Here is a 23,201-nt window from a genome sequence, read left to right on the forward strand (position 1 = left end):
TTAAATGTCTGAACAGTAATGAACTTTATACAACTACCCCAAGAGTTTCACCAATTAGACGGCTACTAATTTCTTCACTTATTTTACTGAGAATAAATGTCTGAGATCAGTGTCATAAGGAGAAATTACAGCAAGTTTTTGGTTTGACAGAATTTGGAATCTTAGTGATTATCCCAGTTTTTCTCTTTTCTATAAAGAGGTATGTGCTTGATGATACTTAAGCCAATAGAGAGGGGCATACCATTTAATGGTAGTTGGTATGTTTTATCATAAAAATCTAAAATTAATAATTAAAAAATATTATCAATATATCTTCCAATACTTTTATGTGTCTTAATTTTTTTCCTCTTATGGAATTTTTAATTTCCCTATTACTATATACACAGTATACAGGATTCCACAGCATTAAAAAGCAGCAAAACCAATAACCAATAAGTATTTGTATATTTTATTTTAGGAACTACCATAGTGAGAATGAGATAAAATATAAATAATTCTGTAGAAATACTTTTAAGTTAAACTTGGGAAATTAAAAAAAAAAAAGCGGAAACATAAATTGTATAATGAAAACATCATAAGTGGAATCTAATGTGAAAGCAGGCACTTTGCCAAACAACCCTTTTTAGGGAGCAAAAGCTCTTTGTAATTTTTTGGTACAGTTTTCCCTTTCAAATGTTATCAAATTGGATTCTCCCACTCCATAGATAGCATATGAGACAAGCTTTAACTCTTTCTGAAACATTCATTTGCTAATTTTCCCTTTATTTAAGTAAAATTCACCCAAGTGCATATCCTAAAGTTGACATGAGTTCCCACACTCTAAATCACCAAGATCAAATCCATTTCCTTGCTCTGTTCTGAATCTGGCCAAATCTCCGCCTCCCTCCTATCTCAGCGTTTACCATACTGCAGAGGTAATGTCAAAGTTCTTGCATTCTAAACTAAAAGACAAAACTCATAGCCATTGAAACATATGTATTTTGCATGTTCATGGTATGCTACATAGTTGGAATTGGGTAAAATTTCATACATTTAATAACTTTTAATTTAATGACTTTTTCAATATAAGTAGTAGGTTTGGAGAGGTTGTACATTACATCTCACCAAAATATCATCAAGAAGTTTTCACCCATTTCTTTATTTTACATGTACTCATATTCTTCCTATTATAGATTCTCTATAATAGTTTCACTCACAATATTTGGGATTTTTCATTAATCAGAAAATAAATAATGTGCCTCACAGTTAGTGGTGATATATTCCAACTTTCAAGACTAATTTAAATTCATTATCCCAAAATCTTTACATAAAATCTTCAACATGTGTAACCTTTTTATTTTTTAAATTTGCAAAAAATTAGGACCCAAGGAAAAATATATGCTTTCTTCTCTCCTTTGTTACTGCTGACCTTCTCCTCCCTGGGCCTTTCTCAGCAAAGACAAAGGAAACTTCTCTCCTGTCTCATTATTCAACGTCCCTTTGCAGACTCTCTCTTAAATGCATCATTAGATGTGTTTTCTTTCTTCTGTAGTCTCAGACTAAATAAATGCCTATTCAAGGGCTTTAGAAATTTGCTGTTTTTCAGAACTAGTTTTGGGTACATGGGTTGGTTAGTAGAGTTCTTCATAGACTAAGACAAGGCAAAGGTCAAGACCTAGGGTGATTCCTCTTTGCTATTGCGGCAATTTCTTTATCAATTCGCCTAAAAGTTTACTCTCAAGTTCATAATATATCCCTCTCCTATTTTATCACTTAAGCAATAATTCCTATTTATCATATTATGTATTTTGCTTGTCTTCTTTATTCTTCCCTTTCCCCTAAACATAAGCCCATAAGGTTAGAGATAATTGTTTTGTCCATTTCTGTTTATCAGTATCTTGAATAGCACCTAGCACATAATAGGCCCTCAAAAACAGAGTGAGATCCTTGCACAAAATAAATATGCAAAAAGGGAACCAAATATACTAATTTCTACCAAAGAAGGTGAATTATTTTAAATATTATTTCAAGACTTTTTGCAGATTTGTTTTATATTGAGTCTGTAAATGTTTATTTTTCAGATTGTGAATTATCTGTGACTTTTAGGCATTGCTGTGGGTAAAAATGGAAACAGAAATGGTAAGAAAAAGTGAAATCTCTCTTTTTTTAACTTGTTTTATGTCTTAATTAAAGATTTGATATAATATGGAAATTAAAGGCCAATAATAGGGTTGGGGAATATTAATGCATTTAATTTTATCCATATAATAGTATTTATCTCTCACTATGAATTGTTAGGGAATTTATACTTTGTTTGAGATAAAAAGTTTAAGGTTTTAAATGTCCAATTTTTAAAAAGAACCGTCAAATTTATTACGCATATAATATAATTTGCACAATTACATTTGATAGGTTACACAAGATCACTTTTCTCTAAGAGTTGTGTTCTAGCCTGTGGTGTGCTGCAGCCAGCTCTGACCAGTTCATGAGAGCTGATTTTGTGCATCTGTTCCAAAATCCACATTTAGTGGTATCAAATGGGTAGCTTGAAATTGGCTGTAGTGGAAGTATCACAAAAATTGGTAAATGCTACAAATCAGGGTTGTTAAACTTTTATGAGCTCGCCACTACCCTTATCTGAGTCTGATGAAACTGAAAGCTAGCTAGTACACGACTAAACAAAAGACAGATACAATTTCCCAATATAAAATGCTTTTTGATTCATATAAACTTCCTTACCCATCTATTTCCTCTTTTTCTATCAAGCCAAGTAATAGTCAAGTATTACTCTTCAGATGAAGAGGTTTGCCATAGCAACTACTATGTTTCCAGGTGTCCAATATGTATTTATAATATGATGAATGATGATGGTGTACAGATAATAAATCTTAATCTGAAGAAAGGGAAAAGCTGATTTGTTACTCCCTTGGAAATGCAGGATGTCAGTATGTTTGGGTTACTTTGTGCTACCTGCCTCTTCCTGGCATTTTTGTGCAGGATTATTTAGAAATGAACAGAGAAACAGGAAGTTGCTTCTGATTCATTTGCAACCGTGGTCTGAGTAGTACATTCATATCAAATGTGCTTGAGGAAACCATGAGAGTCTAATGAATTTAAAAATATCTTTAGTAGGGCAAAGAAGGCTGGCATATTTTCAAATAATTGTAAAAAGCCATGAAGGTTCAAGTTCTGGTGCTTCACCTGAGGATTATGTTTGAAGGAATTGTATAATTCCTTGAACAAGAGATAGACCATATGTTTTAATGCCTTTCTTTTTGTTTATTGTCTTAGTTTGTTTTGCAATAGTGAAATACTATAGACTAGGTAGCTTAAAAAACAAACAGTTATTTTTCATATTTCTGGAGACTGGTAGGTCCAAGATCTAAGGCTGGCAGATTCAGTGTCTGGTGAAGACCCTCTTCCTGATTAGCAGATGGCTACCTTCCTGCTGTGTGCTCACATGGCAAAGAGAAGGAGAGAAAGGGCTCCGGTCTCTTCTTCTCCTTATAAGGACACTAATCCCATCATGGAGTCTCCACCCTCATGACTTCTTTGAAGCCTAATTACTTCCCAAAGGCCCCACCTCCAAATACCATCACATTGGGATTAGGGCTTCAACACAAGAATTTGGTAGGGACACATTCTGTCTATAGCATTTGTGGATGCTCCCATCTTAATGTTTTTTGAAACGTCTTCACATGTTGGTAGGTTCTTGTTTAGAAAACCAATATTATTTTATTACCTAAGTAAAAGATAATATTGTTTTCTTTTTGTGTTTAAAAAGAGATCTGAGCTATGCAACATTTGTAAACATGAAGACACTGCCCAGTAAAATCAGATAGAGTGTTCTCAATGATTTTAATTTAAAAAATCACGAATATTTCATTGATCTTTTAAAACACAAGAGCAAAGCAATAGGTCAATATATGAATTGTTTAATGTATTCTATAGTCTCATAATTCTAAACATTAGAGATAACTGAGTTTATTTTAGTTCCAACAATTCATAGAGCACGTCTCGAAAAATAGGACATTGAATAAAAATCTTGACATGTATTCACTAAGGAAAGCACAAATAATCTTATTAAAACATTGATATTATCAGTTAAAGAGTTTTCATTTAGGATAACTTATCTGAGTAAGAATAATAAATGTAACCACGGAGATAAAAAGGGGCATTTATTTTACGTTCCTAAAAGTCCAACATACTTAATGTCCAAAGTCTATCTGGTCCTGAGACCGATTCATGGGATAGTGATTAGCTCTTCTCACATAGCCTCCATACTTTCCAATCTAAGAGAAAATAATTAAAAAACTGTGGCTGACTACAAGGTGCACTACAAAGAACACAAACTAGCAGTTGCTGTGACTTTCTTATAAACTAGAGATGAATAAAACAAAATAAAAATCTCTTGAATCTCAACATTTGTGACATTTATCTGTAGAATCAGCAACTGCAGTGGCAATAAATCACTATATCCTGTTCTCACAGTTAAAGTAAAAGATTGTCAATCCCTCAGGACTATCAGGACTAGTTCAACCCTGACTGCAATAGTTCACCTCATCCTCAGCCACACTCCTACCCATATGCATATACACTTACAAACAAAGATATCATAGAACCTTAATGCTGTAAAAGACTTAGAAATCATTTGACCCATAGTGAATAAGTGCAAGGCATACATAGTAATGCCCTCCACCCCAAACTACCATGCAGATACCACTAATTGACCACAGCATTCTTTCCCCCATTCCCAAACTTGGGTTCCCATGATACATAGCCCAATGCTCCAGATGACCAGTACCAAATGAACAAGAATAACACATAACATGAAACCTATTTACCAATCCTAATTTTGGCAAACTCTTTCATTTTACATTTTTTTCTACATGATATTCTGAGCTAATGAAAACTACCTTCTCATCCCATGATAAAGATACAGTTGCTGAATACAAATATATTAAAAGAATTTTAAAATGTAACTGAGTTAAAAAGAGAAAAAAAAGAAATTCTCAGATCTGAGAAATGAACAAGAAACTGTTTTTGTGTTAGTTGATACCATGTTAGGCCAAGGAGCTATTTGTTTATAAATCACTGTTGACAAACACTCTGTTCTTAACATTCAAACAGGTTGAAGACATGTGACATGGGGCTCATTCAAAGTGGGTGCTGAAACAATGTATTGCATAAGCCAGGTATCCTGGACCAACTCTGTCCTATGAAAAAGAGGAATTGTAAGACTAACCTATCGGTTTTGGTAAGCAAAAAAGAAAAACAAAGTGCCATGAGAAATAATATCTCTAACCTTCTCCATATATGTATTTGTAATCAGAATTATGCTACCTGTATCACTTGGAACATCGCAGAAAGATATTGGGGCAAACAAGTTGCAGAACAATAAAACCTCTGGGTGCCTAGAAGAAGCTAACAGAAATAGCTAAATTTGGATACTCCCAAAATCTAGGGCACAGAAACTCTCCCTTAAAAAAAATACAGCTGAAGATAAGTTTACAATCAAAAACTAAAATTCACAAAGTATATGATTCACTATGAAGGTTGGCAGAGCCAAAACAGGAAAAGTACCACTACAAGACCTTGGAATAATGCAATGATTTGAAACATACCACAAAACAAGTACAGCAATTCTAAAGCTCAATAATAGATAACACTTCTGGTATGTCTGGCAGTCTTCTGAGCATTTTCATTCATTTAATAATTTATTTACCATTGCAACAGCTCCTAAGGTAGATATTACTACTATTCTTATCCTACAGATAAGTAAACTGAGCTTATGAGTGGTTAAGTGACAGACACAAAATTACAAAGCTAGAACGTGGTGGTAAGAAACTTAAATGTAGGCAATCTGCCTCTAGAATCTGTATTTAAAAACTATGCTCTACTACCATTATAGTAAGAATAAAATAACTACCATTTGTTTAGTACTTAGTATGTGACAGAAAATGCTTTAAGTGATTTTCTCATACTGACTTATTTAATACTCACAATAAACCTACGAAGTAAGTATTATTATAATTCCTATGTTACAGAAGAGAAACTGAAGCATAGAGAGATTGTCATATTTGTTAGGGCTGCCAGGAGAAAATATCATAGACTGGGTATCTTATAAACAACAGAAATTTATTTCTCACAACTCTGGAGGTTGGGAAGTCCAAGATCAAGGTGCCAGTAGATTCACTTCAGTATCCAGTGAGGATTGTCTTCTGGTTCATAGAAGGCATCTTCTTGCTGCATCTTTGCATAGCAGGAAGGACAAACAAGCTCCCCTGGGCTTTTTTTACAAGAGCACTAATCCTATTCATAAAGGCTCCACCCTCATGACCTAATCACCTTCTAAAGACCCCACTTCTTAATATTTTCTCATTGGCAATTAGGTTTTAACATATGAATTTGGGGAGACATGAAAATTCAGACCATAGCAGATGTTGAGTAACTATCCCCAGTTACACAGCTAGAAGTGACAGAGTCAGTCTTTCTGGAGTTCATGTCTACTATGCTATACTATCTACCATGATGGCACAGAAAGTTTGAAAGCAAAGGAGAGAAAAGGAGATTGGAAAGTAATATACCCCAAGAAGATACTAATCAAGAAGAATGTGTCACAATATACATATTAGACAAAATAGACCTTAAGTTAAAAAGCAGGGTAGGTATATACAGAGTTATTATATAATGATAAACACATTCACTCATAAGATTTAACAATCCTGAACTTGCATGTGCTTAACAACATAGCCTCAAAACATATACAGCAGAATTAAATGGAATAACACAGAGAAATTGACTAATTTATAATAGCAATAGGAGAATTAAGAAACATTTTTCAGAAACTGAGAGGTCAAGAAAGCCAAGAATTAGTGAACTTAAAGCAACTAAAGTCCAGAGAGATATAGTAAAGAGTTTTAGTGGCATACTGCTAGATAGAGCTAAATCCAGAAACAGTAACATTTCTTTATATTTGCATAGTTCTTTGTATTTAAAAAAATAATTTCACAGATAACATGATTTTATTTTAAACCTCCAAGCATTGAGAACACTTCTGGCATGTCAGACAATCTTTTAAGCATTTTAAATAACCTGTGTTGAGGAGACAAGGGAGTTTCCTTCCTATGTTTGTCGACAGGCAGAAGATAAAAATTTGAAAAAAGGTTATGGCAAAGGGTTATATCCACTTTTATATCAGATCTCGTCACACCTCATTCTCTGCCTAGGCTCACACACACTGACAAAAGAGAATTTTATTCTAATCACCCAAAAAATTTTCACATGAGAAACATACTAGAGAAAACTTCCCTTACTTCAGAATTCTTTGATACCTTCATAATAGGGGCTTTGTAATATGGAATCAGTCTGGCTCTTTTAGGTGCTATCAAGTTACTGCAAGTAGTGAAAGGAATGGAACTAGCGAAAAAGTGAGATACAATCTGCGCTCATGGAGCCTGGACTTGAAGAAGGTCATTCCAGATTTGCAACAGCACTATAGATCATGGCAGCCAGATTCAATGGAATTTTACCATTGATCATTACCATTGATCATTAACATAACATAGTTCTCCCTTGTTCTGTACTCTTCTATTTCCTCCTCTTTTACCATCTAGATTTACTCTGCATTTTGTCTCTACATCACAACTTTCCTTCATTAAAACTCCAGTTCACATAACACTTTGGCTTTGTTGTAATCTCATGATCCTTATGATCATCTACCAATGGCCTAATACTCTCCAAATTTCCCAAATATCCCTAAAAGTGAACAGATTACTTTCAGAATACTTTTTCATCCCAGGCGACCTCATAGGTAGCTGTCTAGCTTACTGTTCATTGTCTTTGGGTCAGGCACCCACACAGTCTGCTATGGCCAATGAAGACATAGCCTCAAACATGTCTAGTCAATATGGGTTTTTCCTTTTCCTGTGAAAAAACTATGGGGTTAGCACAATTGTGAGGCTTCAATAAAGAAATTTTTTTTATACAAGTTTACCTGAATTCTAAAATAAAATAGAAAACTATTTTTAAGAAAACAGAAAGCTTTTTCATATTACTACCACATCAGTCAATTCTTTTTCCACACCATAGTTATTTCTCAAGCAATAACCTGCATTACCATATTATTTTTATAGAAGACTATTAGATGCATATTGCTACCTACTAGGAAAATGATGATTCCAAAGTTTTTTTTTTTTAGGTTCACTAATGTTTAATTTACAATACAATTTTGCTTTAATGCTCTATTTTCCTAAATATAAGGAACTAAAGTAATGATGTTATAAAATTAAGTAGAATCATCTCTTGAGCTATGATTCTGTAGACCTGCTTAAAATTATAACAAGTTAAAAAATAGGAAGAATTCAATAGTGAAGCCACCTGGACTGGACCTGAAATTTTCTTTATGGGAAGATTTTTTTAATTATTATACTTTAAGTTCCAGGGTACATAGGCACAACGTGAAGGTTTGTTATATATGTATACATGTGCCATGTTGTTGTGCTGCACCCGTTAACTCATCATTTACATTAGGCTTATCTCTTAATGCTATCCCTCCTCCCTTCCCCCACCCCATGACAGGCCCTGATGTGTGATGTTCCCCACCCTGTGTCCAAGAGTTCTCATTGTTCAATTCCCACCTATGAGTGAGAACGTGCAGTGTTTGGTTTTCTGTCTTTGCAATAGTTTGCTCAGAATGATGGTTTCCAGCTTCCTGCATGTCCCTACAAAGGACATGAACTCATCATTTTTTATGGCTGCATAGTATTCCATGGTGTATATGTACCACATTTTCTTAATCCAGTCTATCACTGATGGACATTTGGGTTGGTTCCAAGTCTTTGCTATTCTGAATAGTGCCACAATAAACATATGTATGCATGTGTCTTTATAGCAGCATGATTTATAATCCTTTGGGTATATACCCAGTAAAGGGATGGCTGGGTCAAATGGTATTTCTAGTTCTAGATCCATGAGGAATTTCCACACTGTCTTCCACAATGGTTTAACTAGTTTACAGTCCCACCACCAGTGTAAAAGTGTTGCTATTTCTCCACATCCTCTCCAGCACCTGTTGTATCCTGACTTTTTAATGATTGCCATTCTAACTGGTGTGAGACGGTATCTCATTGTGGATTTGATTTGCATTTCTCTGATGGCCAGTGATGATGAGCATTTTTTCATGTGTCTGGTGGCTGCATAAATGTCTTCTTTTGAGAAGTGTCTGTTCATATCTTTTGCCCACTTTTTGATGGGGTTGTTTGATTTTTTCTTGTAAATTTGTTTAACTTCTTTGTGGATTCTGGATATTAGCCCTTTGTCAGATGGGTAGATTGCAAAAATTTTCTCCCATTCTGTAGGTTGCCTGTTCACTCTGATGGTAGTTTCTTTTGCTGTGCAGAAGCTCTTTAGTTTAATTAGATCCCATTTGTCAATTTTGGCTTTTGTTGCCATTGCTTTTGGTGTTATACTCATGAAGTCCTTGTCCATGCCTATGTCCTGAATGGTATTGCCTAAGTTTTCTTCTAGGGTTTTTATGGTTTTAGGTCTAACATTTAAGTCTTCAATCCATCTTGAATTAATTTTCGTATAAGATGTAAGGAAGGGATCCAGTTTCAGCTTTCTACATATGGCTAGCCAGTTTTCCCTGCACTATTTTTTAAATAGGGAATCCTTTCCCATTGCTTGTTTTTGTCAGGTTCGTCAAATATCAGATGGTTGTAGATGTGTAGTATTATTTCCAGGGGCTCTATTCTGTTCCGTTGGTCTATATATCTGTTTTGGTACCAGTACCATGCTGTTTTGGTTACTGCAGCCCTGTAGTATAGTTTGAAGTCAGGTAGTGTGATGCCTCCAGCTTTGTTCTTTTTGCTTAGGATTGTCTTGGCAATGCGGGCTCTTTTTTGGTTCCATATGAACTTTAAAGTGTTTTTCAATTCTGTGAAGAAAGTCATTGGTAGCTTGATGGGGATAGCATTGAATCTATAAATTACCTTGCGCATTATGGCCATTTTCACAATATTGATTCTTGCTATCCATGAGCATGGAATGTTCTTCCATTTGTTTGTGTCCTCTTTTATTTCATTGAGCAGTGGTTAGTAGTTCTCCTTGAAGAGGTCCTTCACATCCCTTGTAAGTTGGATTCCTAGGTATTTTATTATTCTCTTTGAAGCAATTGTGAATGGGAATTCACTCATGATTTTGCTCTCTGTTTGTCTGTTAATGGTGTATAGGAATGCTTGTGATTTTTGCACACTGATTTTGTATCCTGAGACTTTGCTGAAGTTGCTTATCAGCTTAAGGAGATTTTGGGCTTAGACAATGGGGTTTTCTAAATACACAATCATGTCGTCTGCAAACACGGACAATTTGACTTCCTCTTTTCCTAATTGAATACCTTTATTTCTTTCTCTTTCCTGATTGCCCTAGCCAGAACTTCCAACACTATGTTGAATAGGAGTGGTGAGCGAGGGCATCCCTCTCTTGTGCCAGTTTTCAAAAGCAATTCTTCCCATTTTTGCCCATTCAATATGATATTGGCTGTGGGTTTTTCATAAATAGCTCTTATTATTTTGAGATATGTCCCATCAACACCTAGTTTATTGAGAGTTTTTAGCATGAAGGGCTGTTGAATATTGTCGAAGGCCTTTTCTGCATCTATTGAGATAATCATGTAGTTTTTGTCTTTGGTTCTCTGCTTATATGCTGGATTACCTTTATTGATTTGCGTATGTTGAACCAGTCTTGCATCCCAGGGATGAAGCCAACTTGATAGTGGTGGATAAGCTTTTTGATGTGCTGCTGGATTCGGTTTGCCAGTATTTTACTGAGGATTTTCACATCGATGTTCATCAGGGATATTGGTCTAAAATTCTCTTTTTTTGTGTGTCTCTGCGAGGCTTTGGTATCAGGATGATGCTGGCCTCATAAAATGAATTAGGGAGGATTCCCTCTTTTTCTGTTGATTGGAATAGTTTCAGAAGGAATGGTACCAGCTCCTCCTTGTACCTCTGGTAGAATTCGGCTGTGAATCTATCTGGTCCTGGACTTTTTTTGGTTGGTAGGCTATTAATTATTGTCTCAATTTCAGAGCCTGTTATTGGTCTATTCAGGGATTCAACTTCTTCCTGGTTTAGTCTTGGGAGGGTGTATGTGTCCAGGAATTTATCCATTTCTTCTAGGTTTGATTTGTGTAGAGGAATTCATAGTATTCTCTGACAATAGTTTATATTTCTGTGGGATTGGTGGTGATATCCCCTTTATCATTTTTTATTGTGTCGATTTGATTCTTCTCTCTCTTATTCTTTATTAGTCTTGTTAGCGATCTATCAATTTTGTTGATCTTTTCAAAAAACCAGCTCCTGGATTCATTGATTTTTTGAAGCGTTTTTTGTGTCTCTGTCTCCTTTGGTTCTGCTCTGATCTTAGTTATTTCTTGCCTGATGATTCCAAAGTTTTAAAGTAGATAGAGTGATTCACAAGTTCTAATATTTTTCTATTTCTTTCAAACTTAAAAGTACCAAATAGAAAATAATCAAGATGACCCACTGTAATGTTTGCCATCTATCTAGGATTTGAGAGGATAATTCAGGTTGGTTTTTGAAAAATTAATTTTGTTCAGGACACACAAGTGCTAAATACAAGTTTACAAGAATGAAAACCAAGATTAACTCTGAATGAGTGATGGGAAGAAAAGTCAATTGCCTGATGATTCCTGGCAAATAGCCATATCATATGTTTCTTTTCATATTGGAGTCCCTAGAGGGCAACAGATACACAGAAAATGAGTTTTGGCTGAACAATGTGTCACCATCTTGAGGCAAAGTCCAGAATGGTGATGCTATGGATGAACCATGAGTTCAAAAGACTCCAAACTGTCTAGGAACATTTCCAAAACTTTATTACAGCATTTTTGTGAGACTATAAAAGGGTGACTTTTAAAAATGTTAAAAAGAGAGACATTCTAAACTAGCATAAAATCAGACACTGCGAAAATTAGCTCTATTGCCTTCACAATTCTACTTAGGCACACACACTATAAAACTCTTTCAAATTCACCATTGATGTCTGGAAGGAAAAAGCTTTCTTTTTCATGCATTCCCTTCTGGATTTTCTGTTTTCCTGTGTTACCAAGCCCAGTCTTAAAAGAATGGCTCCTTCCCTAAACAAAGGAGGTCCTTGGCTGGTACAGCATAGCTGGACTGTCAGACACTGACAGACTGAAAAGCTACAAATCTGCAATGAACCAACAATAGGGCTCCATGACCTTTAGCACCTTCCCGAGTTGTCTGACCCCATTCCTTTGTCTTTCTCACTTTTAGTTTTGGACATGTTACCTACAGCTCCTTCAAAGATCTGAAGTCATCTTAATGTGTTTCTGTGGAAGTTAAATTCTCAATTGCACATCCTTTTAGTGAAAGTTAAATTAATTTTTAACATATTCTTTCACCCTTTTTCTTCACCCTGTGAAGATTTTCACAGATATACACAAAGCATGGTCTTAGATTTCTGAGAACTTGTCTCCTGCTGGATATTCTCAATTCCTTCCTGTTGAAATAAGAAAATAATAATAATAATAATAATAATAATAATAATAATAATAAGGCTAAGCCATTCTGACAGCCTCACTAAAAAATTTTCAGTTTGCACAGTACATAGCAACAAGTGACCTGTTAAATGATGACAAATCCTTTAGATTATGGCTTTAGACCTTTAACCTTTTGACTTTAGGTTGTATCCAGGGAGCAGTCAGAGAGGAAGAATGCAATAAACTGCTTGTAATCTAGTGGTCTCAAAAGAAATTACATCAAAACCAGCTGTTACACCACTAGTCATTAAAGACTGACAACACGTTAACTAACATATGGCCATTATATTGAAAGAGACTTTCCTCCCCACCCGCTGCCAAACTACTAGAGGACTCTTGCTTCACTTAACATCAGAAAATGTGGATGCAACGAAGCAACTCAACACTTAAACTATCAATAAGAGAGTTGCATTTGGTTGAGATATGACCTCTTTATTTTAATATTTTTGAGGAATCTGGCCAATTTAGAACATTGTGGTTTAGATGTCTTGGCAGTTAGAATAACTTTTCTTTGGATTGTTAAATGTCTGTGTTTCTGTAGGATTGCAGCTGTCTTTCCTCCCACCTGCCTTTTGAAATGAAGAAAATTGATGCAGGGATTTTAATGATAAAGTACAATTCCCCAGGTACCACTTTCTGCGTTCTTTTGCTTGAAATGTTGAAGGACTTTGTGTTGGATGTCACGCCAGTCTATGTCTGACAACCAACAACATGTCAAAGCTGTGGCATAAAAGCTTGAAATGTAGTGCACATCTTTCTGGGGATTGTCATCCAGCCACACCAGCATTTAAAATATAGCAAACAGTACTGGTAGGCTTCCAAGATAAAACCCAAAATTAGTCTGGGAAGCACACAGTGGTGGTTTAAAAACATGGGGTGGAAAACATGTTGCTAAGTGCCTGTTACAGACACAACCTGTATAAAACAGAGAGAATGCCAAGGGCATCCAAAGAAGAGAAGATGTCTTTGCCCACCTGGGAAACCAAACATTTGAACAAGAGGGCAAAGCCAGTGACACAGCCAGAGGACAAATTCAGCAAGCAGCACCATTCCTGAGGCATCTTTATGACCTTGCTCTCTGTCAGGCAGAGTTCTGTCAGTAATCCCCTCAAACTCTTTCCGCATTTTTCTGATTTCTAGAACTAAATTCTATTTTGATTTTTTGTAGTTGAACATATTCTAAATTTTAAAGCAGATTCAACCCAAAATTAAATATCCATTTTGGATAGAAAAAACAACTACAACCAAGATGTGATCTTATGAGGCTAACAACATATTTTTTGATCTGTAGATGCATGGCCAAGTCTTTATGCAGTGAGGGTGTTTGGAAGTTTTGTTCCTTTTTTTCACTCAAATAACAAGAATAAAAATTTGGCATGCCTTTGTTTGTTCATTCACTTGCTGCATAATTGTCAGCTGGCAGCCTACCTCAGTGCTAGGCCTAATTCAACCAAACATGAGGGCAGGATTTACCCTCCTACTTGTTGCTTTTTTTTTTCCTGGAGAAACAAGGTCTTTCTGTGTTGTCCAGGCTGGTCTCGAGTGCCTGGCCTCAAGCAATTCTCCTGTCTCAGCCTCCCAAAGCGCTGGGATTACAGGTGTCAGTCACTATGCCAAGGCAACTTGTTGCTCTTCATTGTGAGATTGAACAAAGGGGAGTGGAGTTAAGGAACCCACATTTGAATCATATCTGTAAAATGCACTTGTTAAGGCCAATGCTCTCAAATTTCACAGATTTTTTTGAATGAAAATTCTATAAAATAAAATGCATGAAAGTGTTCTGTACAATTTATGCAATGTATAAAAGAATTAATAATTTTATTACCTTCTGCAACTACCTAATTATCTAGTAGAGTGAGTGGTGACCATGCGTCCTGGGACTATCTCCACTGTGTGCAAGGTTAATCCCACATGAATATTCTTACTGCTGGAACCTCTGATATTGACCCCCGTAAGGGACCCTAAAATATTCATTAGTAAGTAAAATGTTAGTGATGCTCATATGTCAGGTATTCCTGATGGTTATAATAATAATACATTTGGTACTTGTCTCGCCACTAGTAAGTGAAGAAAAAACAATGCAACCTTCACTGGCACTCTAACTGCACCCCTGCATTGTTAATCCACAAATATTTTCTTGTCTTATTTTTTAAATTAAGCTGAACAGAAAGATACATACCACATGTTCTTACTTATGTGTAGAATCTAGAAGAACTGAACTAGAAACAAAGAGTAGAATGGTATGTACCAGAAGCTGGGGTTGGGGAAGGGGTGGGGAGAGGATAGTTGAAGGGTACAGAGTCTCAGTTAGACACCTACATATTCTGAAAGGGATTGTAATAACTTGTTTATATACTTATTTACATAATCCATGACACTTTTCCACTCTTTTACCCTTGTTAAGGTGGAGCAACTCTCCATATATTGGTAATACTTATGTCTTCCCTTTACAGTGAAAATTCTCACCCTGGCATGCTTTTTTTGGTTTATGTTTTTAGGAAGATTCCATGTTGAATGTGACGCGTGAGTGAATATAGTACACCCCTTTTTTACATTCTTCCCAATTCACAAGGTTGCCTGATTTGTCTCAAAATGTCTTTCTACAATCTCAGAAATAGATCCTATGTCAGCCCATGTTTATATTCTGTGACCATGCTTGACTAGGCCAGGGGTAGACATGTGACCTAAGTTCAATCAATCAGATCCTGTTGCCCTAATTATGGAATTAAGACTTAGAAACTGTCAGTTAGAATATTTCTACATGTGGCACAAAACATAACCTATAAATCCATAGATTGTAAGAGATGTGTCTGTGAAGAAAAAATGGGGAACTAAGTGTGATGATGGGTATGTTAATTTGTTCTGCTATGATAACCATTTAAAAATATATATGTATCTTATAACATTTGTGTTTTATACCTTCAATAAGATTTTTGAAATTAAAAAGTAACTGTCAGAGAAGCATAAAGCAGAGATTCATTAAGAAGCCAAAAATAGAGGGTTCAGTTACTTGTATCACAACTTTTCATATCCATGGGTAAAACTCTGTTTCACAAGACATTCCTGTATCTCTATAATACATTCCATGTTTTGTTATTGTTAGCCTATATAAAATTAATTTATGTTACATGCAAAGTCCTAAAAAATATAGGGAGATTTCATACTAACCTAAAGACTCTTAATAGCCTAAGGGAGGTGAGAAAAATAGAGAGTATTTAGGTCAAAAAGAAATTCCTAGAAAAATTTTATATGTTTATCATAAAAAGTAACATACAATGAAAATTATGCAAGATTTGGTGATATTAAATCTATCATGTTAGCGATTCATTATATTTTTGGAGCAGATTCTTGCATCAGCTAAGAGTCAGACCAAATGACCACTAAATTTTTGTCACACTGTTGCCCAATTTTTATCTTTGAGTTGACAAAAAAATATATAGAGAGATATATAAAATGTCATATTGTTTGGATAATTAAAAGATCTTTTCATAGGACCAAGAGTCAGTGACACTCAAAAAGCAATGAATACACCTAGTCTCTCTCAGTCTCAGAACTCCTAGAGAAGTAGCTTATTCCAGGGCAGGGGCAGAACATAGAAGATGAGCCTGGAATATTTTGTTATGCCAGAAAGTGCCAAAAATAAAATGATGGGGGTATGTAACAAGAACAGAGAAGCCTACTTGAAGCAGCTCCCACTGACCAAATCTGGGACAATTTGTTTACCAAAATAATTAAGAACAATAATTAATCTTAAAATATAGAAAAAATAGGAATTCATAAGGCCATACCATTAATTAATTATTAAGAAGAAAGGGCTTTTTGTTACAGTTGATTGTCAATTACCAACTGATAAATGTGAAAAGAGTGCTGAGGTTGGAAAATCAGCATTTTGCAGCCATCATAATTAAGACTAGGTCAGACAAAAATTATCAATAAATGCTGAATCTATAGAGAAATTTTGCAAGAAGTAGAATATTTTCATGAACTTAAATGGTGTCCTTACCGGCTGCTTATTAATAATGAAGAAAAAAATAGCAATTATACTATGGAGAAATTAAACACTTTGATCACATGATGAAAAATACTATTACATTGAAAGTAATGGCAAAAAACACAATTAATTTTGCACCAACTTAATATCAGCAATGATGAACAGATGGACATCATGCATCTCTAGGTGTAATACCCTGAGAAGGTCAAAACATCACCTATGTAGTGTTTTGGCCAAGAATAAATAAACTGAATCTGAAGTTTCATTTTAAAATAACCAGACAAATCCAAATTGAGAAATGTTATATTTTTAAAACGGGGAGAAATATCAATGCCATTTAAGGTAAAGAAAGGCTATGGAAATGTGATAAATCAAGAGTCTAAAAAGACATGGCAATTAAGTGCATTATCTGCCCTGGATTCTGTACTGGGGAAGAAAACCATGCTATAAAGGGCATTATGGGATCAATTTTGAAAACTGGAAAATGGACAATAATTTAAAATATTGTATCAATGTTAAATTTACTGAAGTTGACCGTTGCACTGTGGATATGTGAGAGACTATCCCTATTAGCAAATACACACTGAAGTTATTAGGAATACAGTGAAAAGCCATGTAGTATATAATTTACCCTGCAATGGTTCAGAAAACAACAGAGAGAGAGAGAGAGAGAGAGAGAAAGAGAGAGAGAGAATAGATAGAGCAAAGTATAAAACAAATGGGGCAAAATGTTCACATAGGTGATTCTGGGCAAAAGCTTTGTATGTTCTTTGAACTATTTTTATTCTTGCATTTTTTCTTTAACTTTGAAATTATTTCCAAATAAAAAGTTTAATTTTAAAAAAGATCTGTTCAGAGACCAGAATGAGACCATGGGAAATGTCTAATGAGGCATCTCAAACTGTTCTAAGGGATGTCAATAGGTGTTCTGAAAATATAAATAGTTCAAATTTAAACAAAGTTTAAAATGTTAGGGTAAACAAAAATACAAGTTTCTTTATTGAAAAACTCAGAACCTTCCTTATGTTGCTGATGGAGATGGTGAAACTCTAAAAAAAAGTTGGGTGGGGGGCTTTAGCTTGAAGTATTTACCAATTTACCAAATTGGTAAATTTACACAATTTCTCTTGCACATAGGCATAATTTAGTAGCTTTCTTCTCTAGCACTATTTACCAATTGGTAAATTTACCAATTTATCAAATATCTTTGGGCACTGAACTCCTTTTTATTCTCCTGTCTACAGGGAGAAAATTTAGATTTTGATTTTTAATTTTGCCCAATATTCTTATTCTTGTACATCAGAATCAAAGTAATTAATGTATCCAGAATACTTACTCTGTGCCAGTGCATTATTTTTCATTATTGTAAGTGTATGAAGTAGAAGTTACTCTCACCTCCATTGAATAGATACAGCTCAATAATAACTTAATTATACATTTTTAAATAACTGAAAGAGTGTAATTGGATTATTTGTAACACAAAGATAAATGTTTGAGGGGAGGAATGCCCCATTCTCCATGATGTGCTTATTTCGTATTGCATGCCTGTATCAAAACATCTCATGTACTCCATAAATCTATACACCTACTATATACCCACAACAATTAAAAATTAAATAGGTACAGCTCAGAGAGGTCATGCGACTTACCCAAGGTCACACATCTAATAAATCAGAAGACTGACGTGAACTTTGGATACCTGGCTCTGAAGCTGAGTTTGACCTCGACGCTATACTGTCAAAACAATTACTGCCAAAATCTAGACCCTTCACTCCCAATCTTGACCTCTCCCTAAATTACTAAATAAAATGACCTAATTTATTTTCTATCTTAATTTTCAATCACTCAAAGAGTTGAAAAATCTACTAATTATCATGGTGCTCTGATTATGTATCCTTCATTTTTATATTTAACAATGAAAAGTAAATTTCTTATATTTCCTGATACATATGACAATTACCTCAAATACTAAGACACACAGTTTACCTTAAATAATTCTAATTTCTGCATTGTTTGTGTGTTGTCTCATATTTCTAAGGCAATAGCCTCTCACTTCTAGAGACTTCAGAATATTATTATTATTATTAAGTAACATTTACATAGCACTTTATATTGCCAAGTGTTTTACAATTAATTCTAGCAGTTGTTCCTCCCAGGATTCTCCTAATGTAAGACAGTGGTTTGTTAAATCCTCTGAATAGACCACAAATGAAAATTATTTCAAATAGGTCTAGTGGAACTTTTTCTAAGTTTCAAGACCACTCTTTTGGGTGCTACAATTAGCAATGTCTCTCAAGAGCACAACCCAAGAAACATGGCCAATGAAATAATTATCAATTCAAAAAGTTGATAGTGCTAGAGAAGAAAGCTGCTAAATCATGCCTATGTGCAAGAGAAATTGTGTCTAAAATATTTTTACTGCTGATTAGTTTCTGCAGTTAGTTGCACATCAGGCTAATTTTCTTTCCACTTGCAATTTTCAAGAATCTTCACTGTAGGCTAGACTTTGAATTCCTACTTTAATGGAAGTTCTAAACAGCTCCTTACTTTGATACGTATTACAATAACATTTCATGAAAAAAAGAACATGGATCTGTTATTTAATAATGAAGAATTGTGGTACAAACAGCAATGCTTGTCTTAGCAACCACTGATGTAGAAATTGACAGCTTTTAGGCTGCAGTTTCCTCTGCCCAACTTGGCTGGTAACTTTCTAATGAAATGACAGTTTGCCAGCATGCAAAGCCACTAGACTTGCACAGCTAAGTGTATGTCTACAAGAACAACATTGTGATCTTAGTTACTGTATATGTTACTTGCTTAAGTTTATCAATCAAAATCTACCAGAAGCAGAGCCAATGGTGAAGCCAGCTACAAAGGTGAATTCAGGTATCAGCTTTCTGTTTATAAAGAACGAAACAGTGTGGACATTGCCCTAATGTCTAAATTATAAAACTGTGGCGTGATTGATTAAAATTATAACTGTGTTCAGTAATTAGATCAACTCCACAAAGGGGATTCAAACCAAAGTCGAGTTTTGGGAACCATTTTGTGTCTCTCTTCAGCCTGACTGTCCAGCCTAATTTTCAACTACATTGAGCCCTCATAGGTTGTTGCATCTGAGGCTTTGCCAAGACCTAATGCTCTCCCATGTCCTTTTCTCTCTTCTCCTCCCTCTCCCTCAAATCCTAACTGCTTCCCCATCTTCTTGTCAACTTTTACTCTTTCTTTTTAATCCCTGCCATATGTGATGGCTTACATCTATAATCCCAACACTTTGGGAAGCTGAGGCAGGAGGATTACATGAACCCAGGAGTCTGAAACATGCTTGGGCAACATAGTGAGACCCTGACTCTACAACAAGTGAAATAAAATAAAAATTAGTTAGGTGTGGTCACCACTGCACTCTAGCCTGGCCAACAGTGTGAGACCTTGTCACTAAAATAAAAACAAACAAAACAAAAACAAAAACAAAAAACCTTGCCCAGGCATTACATCCTCTGTTCCTCTGTTTAAATTTTTCTTGACCTCCAATTTCTACCTTACAGTTGTAGGTTATTGTTATCTCTCCAATGTCCTTTTTGTTCTTTTTATTTTTATTGTTTTATTCATCCAATGGATTTATAATGATTTGTTTGTAAGTATATGTGATCCACTAAACCACGGCACCTGGAAAGTGGGCACAGACTATGTCCTACTCCTTCTTTTATCTAAGGACCTACTAGTGTAATGACACATCGTAGGCCATCAGTGAATACTAAAATGATCAGCTGACCTTTAACTAGGTCCATCTAGGAGAATTAACAGCTAAGAGATTAAAAAACATGTTAAGATAATAATGAATGGTATACATTATTTTTATAGCTTTTTGGGTAAAATGATCTAGAGACATTTTAAAAAATTGAACAATATAGAAAACACAAAAAAGAAAGTAACAAATTACCAGTTATCCATAGATAACTAGTCACATATACATTAATATGCATTTATAAACATGAGTATACAATTCTACAGAAACGGCATAATTTTACATAAACTCTTATGTAATCTGATTTTATTAACTCAATTATATATGGTACGGATACTTTTCCATGTCAATAAATATAACCTAAGTCTCATTCCAGTAGCAGCAGAGTAGTTCATAATATGAACATAACATACTTCAATATGTTATGAATAAATTACTGTATTCAATTTTTCATTATTGGAAATATTGTCACAATGATGTTTTGGCTAAAAATATGTTACTATGGAACCCTTGGGCCACTATTCATGGGATTGTAAAATGGAATAGCCATTGTGGAAGACAGTATGGTGGTTCCTTAAAAAATAAAAAAAATGGAATTATCACATGATTCAGCAATTCCACTTCTGGGTATATACCTAAAAGAATTGAAAACAAAATGTTGAAGAGATATTTGTGCACCCATGTGTATAGCAGCTTTATTCACAATGGCTAAAACGTGGAAGCTACCCAAATATGCATCAATGGATGAATAGATAAACAAAATGTGGTACATACATGGGAAGGAATATTATTCAGCCTTAAAAAGGAAGGAAGTTCTGACCTATGCTACAACATAAGTGAACCTTAAGGACATTACACCAAGTGAAATAAGCCAGTTACAAGCAGACAAACACTGTATGATTCTACTATGAGGCACTTAGAGTAGTTAAAATCATAGAGATAGAAAGTAGAATAGCAGGGACTAGAGGAAGGAGGGAATAGAAGTTGTTAATGGGTATTGAGTTTCATTTTACAAGATGAAAAAGAATTATGAAGAGAGATGATGGTGATGTTTGCACAACATTACAAATGTATTTAATACCATTGAATTATATACTTACAAATGGTTAACATAACATCATAAATTTTATGTTATATGTATTTTACCGCAATAAAAAAATGGAAAAAAATGTGTGAGTGACAATTATTAGTGAGACAAAGCATCTTTTCATATGTTTACTGTTCATTTGTATTTCCTCTTTTGTAATTTACTATTATAGCCTGTTGTTCTAGTATTTTGACAAGTATTTCACGAAGGATTGCCAGTGCTTCTCAACAGAAAGAAGTAACTAATGTTAGAACTTCAGGTAAGGAGTCAAGGGAATGTGGAAGAATATTTGTGAAGCATGTGCCTTTAAGTGCCTATCAAATCCTAGAACTTTACGGGCTCTTGCCAGCAATAACAATAGCGCTGTGTTATATGCTCAATTTGTAGAAATATGGGCTTCACCTTTGGTGGTATTTCCATTGTGAGGTAAGGAGTTTAGAAAATCAGTGTGTTTGTCTATCAGATTTTTTGCTTTTCTTCAAAGTAATCCCTCACAATGTTCACTGAAAAATATTTAAGACTAAGTTACTGACCTCAGAGATTTTATTTAGGGTTTACATGTCACTATGCAATCTGTTTTTCCCACAGGAATTTAAAATAAACACATTAAAATAGAATTTACATATTTGAAATTACAGTCTAAAAGCTGACTTATTTTCTGGAGATTTCTATGGCCTATATTTAACTATAATATTTGACACAATTTATTTCCCAAACCACGCTCTATCTTTCTGAGATCTTTAATCCTACAGGGTAAAATAAGACAGTTTCAAGTACAGCTCTAAATACACACCTGTGTATCCCTTTTGTGTCACAATTCACAGTGGCTTTGTTGATCTCTAAAGTACTAAAAAGAATTTGATTTTCATGCCATAAACACCATTATTCTGAACAATTGAAAGATGAGTAGGTGAGAGTCTGGGTAGTGTTGTTTTCTAAGCAAAAATGGAAAAGCAAAGTTTCAGGATCGATTTTTGTCAGATATGTGAACACCCGTTCTATAGAATTTAGCTCCTGTTTTGACAGCTTATTGAATACTCCCTCAACTTTTCCCGCCTGTTAATGTCTCCCATTAATTAATACCCATTCTCTGTTCACAGTTTTGATAGAATAGCAGTAGTTGTTAACACAACACTCATAATCACAATTGTACAGGTATGTATTTTGTCTGTGTTATGTGTAAGCCTCAGATATTAAATATTAGGAGAAAAGTAAAGTAAAATTTCTAGAAATAAAATTGTTTTGTAATAACAATAAGAACGGTTTTTATTTCATTTTTTTCCTTTCCTTATGCTGGTATCAAACTCCATAAAATATCTCCCTATATTTCCTTTATTTTTTGTATGAATGAGACTACAATAATTGGATTTAAAATTTTTTTAATACATCTGGAAGACACTGTTTTGTTACTTGCTAGAACCGGGGAGCAACATTTTACAATGCAAATAATGGTCATCAAGGGATGTGACATGTTCAAATACAATTTTTCCCTTAGGGTTCAAAGCAATTTAGAAATATATAACCTTTCAACATTTTTAAAGTGTGCAGAATTTTGGTACAATGTTTCTCCAAATTTTTAAGAGCGTAACATTCTGAAAAATAACGACAATTAAGTTTTACTGGAGGAGCTGAGGATGGTGACTGGTATAGATCTTCATATGAGTTTTTAAAAGTTATGCATGTGCATTTGTAAAAATTTGACTATACAAAAACCTTTTTTAAAAAACAATTTTAATATTCATACAAATATTTTGGACGGTTTTGTGTTTTCCTTCAAGGTTTTTTTTTCCTGTACATCGATGTTTCTTTA

This window comes from Homo sapiens, chromosome 5 (genome assembly GCF_000001405.40).
Source record: "Homo sapiens chromosome 5, GRCh38.p14 Primary Assembly".
Lineage (NCBI taxonomy): Eukaryota > Metazoa > Chordata > Mammalia > Primates > Hominidae > Homo > Homo sapiens.